At 40.4% G+C, this 12,917-nt stretch overlaps 1 protein-coding gene across 9 annotated transcripts in view; it reads right to left on the reverse strand.

The window, feature by feature from the left end:
• Positions 1-12,917, reverse strand: part of WWTR1 (WW domain containing transcription regulator 1) — a 207,554-nt gene that overhangs the window by 26,231 nt on the left and 168,406 nt on the right. The window lies entirely within an intron of this gene.

Below are 12,917 nucleotides of genomic sequence, written 5' to 3' on the forward strand. Positions count from 1 at the left end.
CAGCTACTCAGGAGGCAAAGGTCAGGGACTCGCTTGAACCCGGGAGGCGGAGGTTGCAGTGAGCCGAGATCGCGCCACTACACTCCAGCCTGGTGACAAAGAAAGACTCTGTCTCAAAAAAAAAAAAAAAAAAAAAAAGAACTTCACTTTACAAAAATAATTTTAAAATCCTTAAATAAATTTTATAATTGGTATTTCTGCAAAAATGCATTTATAAAAGTGCTAGTTTTTCTCAAAATTGTTTACCAGTCAAATTTGCTTAACTTCTGCTGGGCAATGTCATGTAATAAAGAAAACCATGCTTTTCAGTCTATTTCCTCCTAGGTCAGGGTCAAAGAAAACAAGGTATAATTTTATATACTCACTTCATTTCTGAGAAAAAAATTCTCAATTTTTGCTATATTTGGTATCATTAACTTTAAAACATTTTATAATATATGTATATTTTTTATAATATTTCATATATATGTATATATTTTAAACATAGAGACGAGGTTTCACTATGTTGCCTAGGCTGGTCTTGAATTCCTGGGCTCAAGCAATCCTCTTACCTTGGCCTCCCAAAGTGCTGGGATTGCAGGTGGAAGCCACCACGCCTGGTGGCTTAAGTTAAATACTTTTCATCTTCAGTTTGCTATGCATATTATGTAGAAATATGATTTACAAGTAAATCTCCTTAAATGAATTTAAGTAGCCCAAATCTCCATATATTAAATATATGTATTAAATGTATAATATATGTGTATATTTGAACGACATATATGTACATTTGAAAGACAATACCAACACTGAAGCTTTTCTAGAGAAGAATAGATTTCTTTGAGGAAGAATTCAATGGCAAAGATTTCTCCAGGATGGAGGTGAGGGTGGGATAAAAATGTTCTTTTTTGTCCATACGCTCACTGAAATTGTTATTGCAATTCCTGCTGCGTGTCATGCACTGGGCTTAAACTTGGAAAAATAGCTCCTGCCTTCATGAGAACTAACGGACTGGTGGAAGAGAGGTGTGAAGAAATGAGATGGATTTTTATGAGTGGCTTATGGAACATGAAACTGTTAGGCTACATAAGGAACCTGGGAGATTATCTAGTCCATCCCCTTATTTTATGGAATAGGGACTGTAACCCAGAAAGGTTAAGGGATGTGCCCTGGTTAGTGGCAAGTAGAGCCAAGACCAAAATCGAGATCCTCTTGTACCCCGTCCAACTGTCCCTAGCCACCTTCTGTCACATCTTAGACTGAAGAAGAGGAACAACTGCTGAAGCCTCAGAGCAACCCTGTAAAGACAATCTGCCTTCAATTGTTTGCAAGAAAGTACCACACACACAGCAGGTCATCAAAATAGGGACCCAAATGTTGCTTGCGTTACTAAGAGGAAGGGCTCGAGGAAAGCCTGGATAGATTTACAACTCTGGGCCCAATAACATGCTAGTAAAAGGGAAGATATCAGTGTATATTGCCTAGACAGTTTAGGTTTCCCCCTTAGAATTAAGCCTGCCACCAAGGACTCTCACCTCCTGGCACAATCCCAGGTACACAGGGAAAGCTCAGGAAACGATCTGATGAATGAATAAAATCAGTTGGGCATTTCTTACACTCTTAGATTAAGAACAAGAGAAAAAGCACAGTCATGATTGATGCCAAAAAACCTGAGATGAGTATTTCACTTCTAGAGCTTGTTATAGTATAATTACAACTTCTACTTGAAGGCCTGGGGTGGGAGGTAAAGGGTTTTGCACAGATGGTGTCGCAGGGGAAAAGTTCCCTTAAGTACAGATTCAAGTAAGACAAAATCCAGACATCCAGAAGGGTTTAATTCATGAAACCTATTTCAAGCCAGGGAAGAGAGGCGCAGATGGAAGAATGATAATTATTTCAAGGAACAGGCATTTCTGAACCTTCTATAAAAGTATGTTCTTACTAGTAGTTATATTTAATATGGTAGTATCTGACACAACTACTAGAGACAAAAAAGATGCCCAATAGTTCTGATATCAGAAATACCCAGGTTAGGAAAACAAGGCTTCAAAGGCACAGGTTGTTAACCCTATGTTGTTGTTGTTATTGTTGTTTTGAGACAGAGTGTCACTCTATCACCCAGGCTGGAGTGCAGTGGTGCCATCTTGGCTCACTGCAACCTCTGCCTCCCGGTTTCAAGAGATTCTCCTGTCTTAGCCTCCCGAGTAGCTAGGATTACAGTCGTGTGCCACCCTGCCCCGCTAATTTTTGTATTTTTAGTAGAGACAGGATTTTGCCATGTTGGCAGGCTGGTCTCCAACTCCTGGCCTCGAGTGATCCACCTGCCTCAGCCTCCCAAAGTGCTGGGATTACAGGCATGAGCCACCGCGCCCAGCCCTATGTTAATTTTTATAACTTAGATACTTTGGAAAATTTTATAACTGACTCAGGTGACTTACTGACATAACAAATTCTAGTAGGACTATCATCAGTCACTTAGGTAGACTGCCCTTGTCGGTGTACAAAATGCTGCATTGGGCGTACTCTCAAGCAGTGTACTGTATTACTGAAAGCCACATAGCAACCAGATATTGCTCAGCAGATTTTATTAATACCTGAATCCTAATCTGGAGGAGTTTCAGACTTGGAGAGGAGCTCTTCCCAAGCCACATCTATGTGAGTCTTTAAAACACTTGCCCCTACTTGAGACATTCACAGGAGGTAATGGTGGAAACACTGGTTTCTTCCATTTAATTTAGATTTGATCTTTCAGACTAAACATCTCTCATTATTAACTGTAGAGTCTGGAAAAGGGTGGAACTTAGATGATAGCTTTGTTTTCAAAGTAAAGCACATATCAACAGAGCAGTTTGTACAAGGATATTCAAAACAGTATTGTTTATAATTGCAAAAGATTAAAAATGATCTTAATGTCCATCAGTGGGAGATATGGTCCACCCATTTAGAGAAATTCTGTATGATGATTCCAATGTTTCTTAGAGATCGTCCAGAAGGGGAAAAACCCAAAGGACAGAACTGTATTATGAGCATGTTACTAGTTGTGGTTAGAAAAGGTGGGGCATGTTATGCATGTGCAGCAAATCTCCACAGAAGGGCACACCTGAGACCGGCAACAGCGAGCACCTCGGCAGAAGAAACTGGGTATCAGGGATGGGAGATCTTCCTTTTCCTTTTCTGTACTATTTTAAGTTTTCCCACATGAATTTATCATTTAATGTAAAACATAAGTGAAAATAAAAATTTTAAAGCATAAAACAAAAACATGGCCATGTAAGCTTCAAACTCAATATTTTGTTGGTAGAGTGAAAGAAAGAAGCCCCAAATTATCTGAAAAACAACAAATACAGCTTAGGATATAATCAAGACTGTCAAAGCTGAGAGTCTGCTTGGTGCAACCTCTCCTTATGGAGATGAGGAAACCAAAACTCAGAGAAAGTGAATTTTATCAAGGTCATAAAACCGGTCGGTATCCTAGAAGCCAGGTGACTTGTCTCAACCCAGGAACCCACCATTCACCTTGCCACTATGCTCCCTCTAGTTGTTTAATTTCAAACCATACTGAACCATCATTGACACTGGAGCTCATGAGCTTCACTTGTGGTTGAGGTTCCTTAAAACCACCGCTTTTGACACTGAGGGCAGAGGAGGCCTAAGGCAGAGAAAAAGAGAAACAAAGTCCTCAGCAGAGCATGGGAAGGCAAAACATCTAAATTTGTGATGAACAAAATACTCCTTGGGATAATATTCCAGAACATTTTAGGGAGAGAACAATAGTTCCATTAAAAAAAAAAAAAAAAGAGCTAGGCGAGGTGGCTTACGTCTGTAATCCCAGCACTTTGGGAGGTCGAGGCAGATGGATTGCCTGAGGTCAGGAGTTCGAGACCAGCCTGGCCAACACAGTAAAACCCCGTCTCTACTAAAAATACAAAAAATTATCTGGGCTTGTTGGCAGGTGCCTATAATCCCAGCTACTCGGGAGGCTGAGGAGGGAGAATGGCTTGAACCCGGGACGTGGAGGTTGCAGTCACCCGAGATCACGCCATTGCACTCCAGCCTGAGCAACAAGAGCGAAACTCCAGCTTAAAAAAAAAGAAAAGAAAAGGCAGAGTATTCCAAATGCAGTATCTGAGGCCAAGCCGGATTAAGGGCAGACTGCCACAAACTGCCTCAAAAAGGCTAAAGACCTCGTCAGCTCTAGACCGTTGCCAGTCCCCCCAGAAAGGAATAACCCAAACAGAAGATTTCTCCATAGAAGCAGGAATGCATCAAAGCTAAAGCAGGGACATCTTTTTTGTTTTTCCTTCCAAGAGAGTCAGAATTTAAATTTAGATTCCCATTTATCTTTTTCTTTTTCATTGTTTTCATCTCCTTTTCCCTTTTTCTTTTTTTTTTTTTTAATAATTGGCTTTCTCTTCTGTGTTTGGAAATTGATAAAACCATGCTCTGCAGATGTGTGACCAGAAACATTTAATTGGCATTATTCAATATAAAGGAAAAAATCACACACACACACACACACACAAAACCGCCAGTGCCAAGGCATCTGAGATACAAACACACTTTTGATTCAATGACTGTGTCCTTGGTGAAGCAAACAGTCAACACGGGAATGGGGCGGGGGGTGGGGTTATTTACGTAGGACATGACCCTCTGGTTAGTGCTGCCTGGGGCAATATACACTTGGTCATTTCTACAAAGCTCTAAGTGTATGCTCAAGGCAAGAAAGTCGCCCGGACTCAATTCTAAGCCAGCACAAGATTTGCTATATAAGAAGCAAACATGGAAAAGGTAAAGGCTTCAATCCTGAACTTTTGCCTTTTGCAACACCAGGAAACAGAGAGCCACAGCTCGTAGAGAAAGTGCTTTTGGCAGCTTCCCTAAGCCAGGAGCTGCAGACGATGAGGGAGGCCAGTGAATCAGAGGCTGCCCAGAGCACCTCCTGGAATGTTTCACAAACGTCTTTTTGGCCTCGGCAGGTTTCAGTGGCTTGCTCTTCTATGTCCTGGGCTTGCTTCCCTCATTTTTAAAATAGGTTTTAGTTACACACATACACATATACAATGCCAAGTGAAGAAAACAAAACCATAAGGGTAGGCTCAACTACGAAAACCATAGCGGACAGGCCTGCAAGGGGCTGGCTCTGAGTAGATCATGGAAAGAACAGCTGGCGCCCAGTGGCTAGAAGTCACACCTAAGTGCTAGGAAGACACAGAAATTACTTGGCTCCCTTCAAATCCTTCTCCTCAGTTCACATGTGAGTCTTGGAAGGTGAAGAAGAATATCTTCGGCTAGTATGCGTTTCTTGTTGTATCTCCCTCCTCTCTCCTTTCGACAACAAACTTCTCAGTGGAGGTATCTCTACTCTTGGCACTTTGAGGTGAATTTTTTAGAATATGTGGTTTTGTTAATGTGTCAGAGGCACAATTCCATTTAAGTGAATGGGTAAGGCCTCCCCAAGCCCTCCATGACTTTTTCCATCCCCAGCACCTATTTCCTAACAGTACTTCGGTTCCAACAATAATAGGGAGTTTTCACAGGCTGTAGACTGTGGTTCATTAGTTTACTAAAAATGTAATTTCCACAAATCCATATTCATATGAACAGATAATTAAACAAATAAATGGATGAAGGAGAGACAAATCTCCCTTACAGAGGAATTCAAAATCATTTATGTAGACACACCATGCTCAAAGGCCGGGGGGATGGGAGGCAACATAACTGCAAATAGTGAGTTCATTCCAAAGAACACAGGATTGAATGAGTGGTGGCTGATGGGAGTTGGGGGGCAACATTACTGTGCAAAAACTTGGAAGATACTACCTTGGCCAGGTGATCAAGGTCAACATTAACAGTGACAAGTCATGATAATGGTGTGCACCCTTGATGTGATGTAATTAGAATAACACTTTATATCTGTAGTCTTCCTCCAAAAACCTATAACTCCAGTCTACCTAAGAGAAAAATATCAGACAAATTTCAATAGAAAGGCATCTTACAAAATACGAAAGCAACACTCCTTAAAACTATTGAGGTCATCAAAAACAAGGAAAGTTTAAGAAACTGTCACAGCCAAAAGGAGCCTAAGGAGATATGATGAGTAAAGGTAATGGGGGCTGAGCGCCATGGCTCACGCCTGTAATGCCAGCACTTTGGGAGGCCGAGGCAGGAGAATCACTGGAAGCCAGGAGTTCAAGACCAACCTAGGCAACATAGTGAGACCCTGTCTCTACAAAAAATTTTAAAAATTAGCTGGGCATGGTGGCATGCATTCGTGGTCCCAGCTACTTGGGAGGCTGGGGCAGGAGGATCACTTGAGCCCAGGAGGAAGAGACTACAATGAGCCATAATCATACTATTGCACTCCAGCCTGGGCAACAGAGTGAAACCTTGTCTCAAAAAAACAAAAAACAAAAAACAAAACAAAACAAAACAAAAAGGTAATTTGGTATTCTGTATGGGACTCTGGAACAGAAAAAGATATTAGATAAAAACTAAAGAAATCTGAATAAAGTATGGATTTAATAATAACTGGCTCACTAATTATAACAAATGTAGCATATTAATGTAATACACTAACAACAGGGGAAACTGGGTGAGTGAGTGTATAGGAACTCTCTTCTCAATTTTAATATAAAACTAAAACTGGTTTGAAAAACAGCAAATTTTAACGTGCCCAGTGAATACCAGGAACTTTGCTGGCTACTCTCTTTTTAATAGTCAATATTAATTTAATAGTCAATGGTTGGGGTATGTACAAATGGACACAATCTTTAAGAGAAAATCTGGTCTATAATGTGTCCCAGGGGAATAAATAGATATTAAGCTAAAACTTTTTAAATTGCTTCTAGAAGTGTTCCCTGGTCTAATAAGACTGGGAAATGTTGGGCTAAAGAAAGTTAAAATAATTTATTTTATTGGAAGATTTGTCAGTCTTTAGAGTAATAGGGGGTACCAAGACTTTCTGAAAGAGATATATGAATTCAACAACTCGTTTCTCAAACTTGCAAGGCTGATATTCTTCTGGATAGGAATACTAGGAAATGCTGGTCCACTGTAACTCAGTGGATGTCTTGGCAGAGTACTGAATTATAAATTAAATATGAATGAATATTATATTAAGTCCCTACTGTGTGCTTAGCTCTTTAAAATTAATTAAAGAAGCTGTTTAGGACACGGAGCCAGAGAAGGGAAAAAAGCGGACAGGGAATGTTGAACAAAGCAGTTTCATGTGCCTAGAATGAGGGACTGCTGTTCAAGATACAGAGTAATAGAAAAACAAAGCAAAACAAAATACAGGAAAAGCAAGGGTTATAAAAGACTGCTTGAATATCTGCTGACATTTTCCATAAGCACGTGATGATTTAAAAAGAAAATTTCAAAGATGGCTTAACTTCCGTATCAGTTTTCACAGGTAGTTAGCAAAGCCTTGCTAAATTAACTTCAGTTACATATATTCCAAATTATCTATCTTTTAGTTTTTTTTTTTCTTTAAAAAGCTTGCTTCTATAATAAAACCACATCAACTATTCCAAATAACACTTCTAACATCATCCTTTAAGAGTAGAACAGGTAAAGCCGGCACGGTGGCTCAGGCAGTAATCCCAGCACTTTGGGAGGCTGAGGCGGGCAAATCACCTGAGGTCGGGAGTTTGAGACCAGCCTGACCAACATGGAGAAACCCCATCTCTATTAAAAATACAAAATTAGCTGGGCATAGTGGTGCATGCCTTTAATCCCAGCTACTCGGGAGTCTGCGGCAGGAGAATCGTTTGAACCCAGGAGGCAGGAGGTTGCGGTGAGCCAAGACCACGCCATTGCTCTCCAGCCTGGGCAGCAAGAGTGAAACTTCGTCTCCAAAAAAAAAAGAGTAGAACAGGTAGAGGCTGACATTGTTTTTAAAACTTGAATGCAGTCTCTTCAAAATAGGTAAATATGCAACATTCAAAGGCATACACTGGGTAATACACTTGATATGGCATCTGGGAAACTTCCTCCTTGGAACAAGTGTTTAATTCAGTTTGATATTTGGGCCAGTAAGTTCATATAAACTTCATCAGAAACACTTTCCAGGAACCTAAACCCAACATGAGAGGGGAGCATAAAAGCTTCCAAAAGTTAGAATGCAAAGCTTTACAATCACCTCATTCTCTTCTTCTCTGTCACAGAGGGTGACCAATTATCCTGGTTTGCCTGGGACTGAGGGGTTTCCCAGAACACAGGTCACAGTGCTAAATCTGGGAAAGTCCCAGGCAAATGGGATGGTTTTTCACTCCAGGCCTATGGCCATCCATAGACCTAGGGCTAACTCAGGGCAGCAGAACTCAAATTTCCTATTTCCACCCTAATGCCTTCCCTTAAAAAGAGAACCAGGAGCCAGTACAAAATGACCTTTCATTATTCAGAACTGTCAGGCTATCCAGATTAGCTGTCAGTGTGTCCTCCTTGGATTAAAAATTGGTGGTTGTCCTTTTGTATCCATATTATGTGATAATTGGAATGGGAATATTACATACTCATTTTGTCTGTAATTTTTGAAGGAAATCAAGCACTATTTATGACATTTATTTTATGACTGCATTATATCACCCATAAACATGCACTTGGTTAAATGCAAAAGTCAGGAAAACCTTTCCTGTTGGACTCCTGGTTGAGCCATACATCTGAAGTAAAGCTCTTTTAAGAAACATTGAACTATTCTCTTCCTGTGATTTGAACTAACTCTCATGTTCCTGGACTTGTGCTCTTTATAAACAAGACCTGGGAAAGAGCAAAGTCTCCCCCTACCCCTCAGGACCAATCACAATGATATGGATCTTCCTTTCTTACAAAAATGGAACAAAAATAATTTTAGTGCATTTCAAATCTGATTAAGGCACAGAGTAGGCACTAAATACATTCTCCCCAAAGTAAGGTTAAGGGAGGTTAGAAATTGGTAACAAAATATCAGTTCCATTTATAGCAAGATGATCATCATAGGCTTTTTAAATTTCAAATAGAAACATAATCAAGATGAGAACTGAGAAAAAAACTGGCAACGCCTCACCCATAACTCATCTTCTCTAGAGGATGCATTTTAACCCTTACCTCTAGAGTTTCATAGGGGAATATCCAAAGGGTACCACATTCTAGTTGCTGCTTCCTCTTACTTCCAGAGCATAGTTGCCTGCTTAGCCCCATTTCATTCTGAGTTTCACACATGATTTACAAACTCATCACTTTCCCCACAGCACTCATTATAGGTGAGGGCCATGTATTTACCCGAGTTTGTGCTATCACCATAGAAATTCAGGATAGAAGGGTCTTAGTCCATTTAGAGCAATGGTTCTCAAACTTTTCTTTAGTAGTAGAATCCTTCTCCAGAGCCAAGTGTACGGCTTGAAGCAGAGGCTATCCTTATGTCCCAGGGTTCTTTCATCAGCTGAGGAAATTAGCACTTAAAGTCAGCACCTTTGACTGTCTTCTCTAAATCATCTTGGTCTTGCTTTCACTCTGCTTTCCCTTCAGGCATTTCTCAAGTGTCATGCTGAAACTTTAAACAAATGTTTAAAACACATTGAACAGGGCCCAGCTTTTGGAAACTGAACACTAAGGTTAGCTTCTGCTCACATCCCCCTGAGATTCTAGCATGGGACTTTGGGACAGACTTTAAAACCAATGATTTAGACTAATTCAGTTATTTTAGAGATGAAGAATATTGGAAGATTAAATGCCTCAGCCCAGATCTCAGGAACAGGCTGCGACAAACCTAGGAAACCCGGAACGCCTGCTAGAATACTACAGCTGGCATCAGCTGCATGGATCACCAATTACTGCCCAATGATCACCAACGGATCACCAATCACTGCCCAATCCTTTTTCGTAGTCATCAAAATATACGTGATAAGTTAAATTTGGTGATGAGGCCAAGTAGTGTTTCCTTTTCCCTATTTCATGAAAAAGTCTAACAGACTATTTTAATTAACTTATTTACTTTAAAATGATGGGATCAACGTGAATCGCATGTTTTGATGACACCATTTGTGTGACCTCACTTTATAGAAATGGTAGAGCATTTTGTTCTTCAATCCTCCAAAAAAAAAAGACAAAAATCAAATAAACTTTGAAAACTCACATTTCATAATTTAGAAAGGCTTATATATGGGAAGGAGAGGTGCTGCCATCAGCCAATGGTAGACCTTCTGGCCATAGAGGCTTTGTGGGAATAATGATATGCAACTGAAAGAAGCAAGCCAAAACATACAGGTGTAAATCGTTTCTGACTTATGTGCAGACCCAGCCACATCAAGCTTTGAAAAATATTTCAGCATCAAGAGTGTCTGGGTGCAGCTGCGGGTCTTTTCCTCTGTTTATGCGCCGTCCATGGCTTAACTCATGTGAACTGGCCAACGTCAGGTGTCACGCAGCCCTGTCTGATGGAAAACATATGTCTACAGAGGTAGGAAGAAAAACCCAGCCACAATCCAGCCTTGACTCAGTCACGATACAATGAAGGGAAAAAAAGGGCTGCAGACGCGTCTCTCGCCCTCCTTGTGTCTCTCTCAGCTCCTGCCAACAATGAGCCGCTTGTTTCTCTTATTTCCCAGAAACAGTATTAGCCATCCAACAAGGTCAGCAAAAAAAAAGCAGCTTTTCACTTCAGGGTGCATTTGGTTCCAAAAATCTGTAAAGTATTAAACCGAGAAGTTGTACTATCCCAACTTCACACTGAGCCCTTTATTCCAATTCTGGGTGAGAATAACTGCAAGGAAATTTCTCAGCCGGCTCAGTTGATAAGGCACAGAGCTCTGGAATATATGTTGATTCAGCCACACTTTCCCAGCTTCACTGTTTCAAGCCTTAAAACCACTTCCAGGTGCCCCAAAGCTTGCCAGATGGGCCTCCGGTCCTCCAGATGCCCCAAGCCTGTCTAGTTTTAGACTTGTAACCCAAGCTTCGTTTACTTCACAGGAAACCCTGAATTTTTAGCACCAGGAAATGATTTTCCTACTTGCTATCCTGCCTGCCCATCCAAACAATAATGTAGTCCACACACCAGTGTGCAAGTATCTAGGCAACTCTCCTTTTTCAGGTGTAAAATAGAAATGCCTGTAACACTGGCTTTTATATTTTCATAATAACTGCATTACCCCAAATGTATATTTTATTGGCATTTAAAGGATTCAGACATTAGTTCTCATCATTATAATATATCCAGGGAAGTCTAGGGAAAAAAAAAAATCACATCTTTCTGGCAGGCTGATTTCTTCTGGATCCTTTTTCCTGTAAAGAAAGAACTCTTTCTTCCACCTAAAGCAGCATCAGAATGTGCTACTCTGACTCCATTTGATTGCAGGGATATCTCAAGATTTATCACAAGTGGCCCGTGGCAGGAAGCACCTCTATGGAGTTAGTGAATTTAGAAAAACAATTATCTAGCCTGTGAAAAAGAGGAAATTTAGTTATTCACTTTGCTGCTTCACAAAGTTGTCCTTGTGATTTTGAATATAATTCCATGGTTGGGCAATAGCAGTACAACTACAACTGTTTTGTTATCTTCAGACAATAGGTATACTTTTATCCAGCAGGAAATGGAAACTCTGATTCATGCATTTATTTTTCTTTAGTCAGTAGAGAGTTTATTGTAGCTTTTTATTGGTTAGCTTTCCTGAATCATTTTAAAACTACTCCAGGTGCGAAGTATGGCAGTTGCCCAAGCTAAGAGAAAACGAATCTACAGCTGTGTTCCACACGGAATGGAAGAAAAGTTGCCAGCGTGAGTTGCTAGTTTTTAATGTGTGCATGTGTTTTTTAATAGCATGCCCTTTTAGTAAACATCTTTATTATGGAGATCATGTAACAGATACTAAGATTCCAAGAGGTAGTCAAAAGACTTGAACGATTCATAAAAGAGAACATGCAATTAGTAATAAAATATGGCAAATTATCAGCTTCGTAAGGAATCACACTAATGCAAATTAAAGAAACAGCCTTTTTCAGCAATCAAATAAGCAAAAACAATAGTGTGGTTTAGGTGCTTTGCATTGGGCCAGGACCACTCAGGAAAAAAAAAAAAAACGAAAGAAGAATGTAACCAGGGGTAACAGGATTAGGAAATCTGGTAGAAGTATATGCCAAATTTTGGAAACCTGTATAAATATGCATTTCATTGAGGACTGTACCCATATATCTTATAGGATTTCTAGTGACCCCCAAAAAGTTAATTACCTTTGAAATGAAAAAGTATTAGAATATTAACAGTGGTGGTGTTTCGCTTATAGAACTATAGATGATTTTTTTTCTTTCCAATGATCTACGGTTCACCTAGCTATTCATTTCCCCTGTTTCTAGGAAGTAGAGATACAATGATGAACAAGACAGCAAGGTCCCTGCCCTGTAGGAGATTATCGTCTAACGAAAAGACAGGCTATAACAAATGTACAGAATAATTTTAGTGATAAGGGATTTGAACAAAGAAATGTGGAGCTATTTTAGGCAGGGAAGTTAAGAAAGGCCTCTGTGAAGCAGTGATGTGTGCTCTAAATCTGAATGAAGTATGGAAATCAGGGTGGGGGACAAGTACAAAGATCCTAAGGTGGAAACTGTGAGCTTGGAGTACTTGTGCAAAATCAGAGCAGCCCATGTGGCTGAGGAGCAGAGGGTGAGGGGCCGGGACCAGGTCCCTTGAGGCCTCTTGCCTGTGGTGAGCACTGTGGTTGGCCTCTATTCCAGACTGATAGAAATCTCCTTCCAGCTGACTGCCTGGACTGCATGGGAAACTGCCAGATTATTTCACACTCTATGGTAAAATTTAAAATTCTGAAGAAATCCAGAGACTCTGGGGGCACACAGTGAAGTGAGTCAAAAAGTGTGAAGCAGGCCGGGTGCAGGGGCTCATGCCTGTAATCCCAGCACTTTGGGAGGCCGAGGTGGGCAGATCACAAGGTCAGGAGTTCCAGACC

The sequence above is a fragment of the Homo sapiens genome, chromosome 3 (assembly GCF_000001405.40).
Source record: "Homo sapiens chromosome 3, GRCh38.p14 Primary Assembly".
NCBI classification, from domain to species: Eukaryota; Metazoa; Chordata; class Mammalia; order Primates; family Hominidae; genus Homo; species Homo sapiens.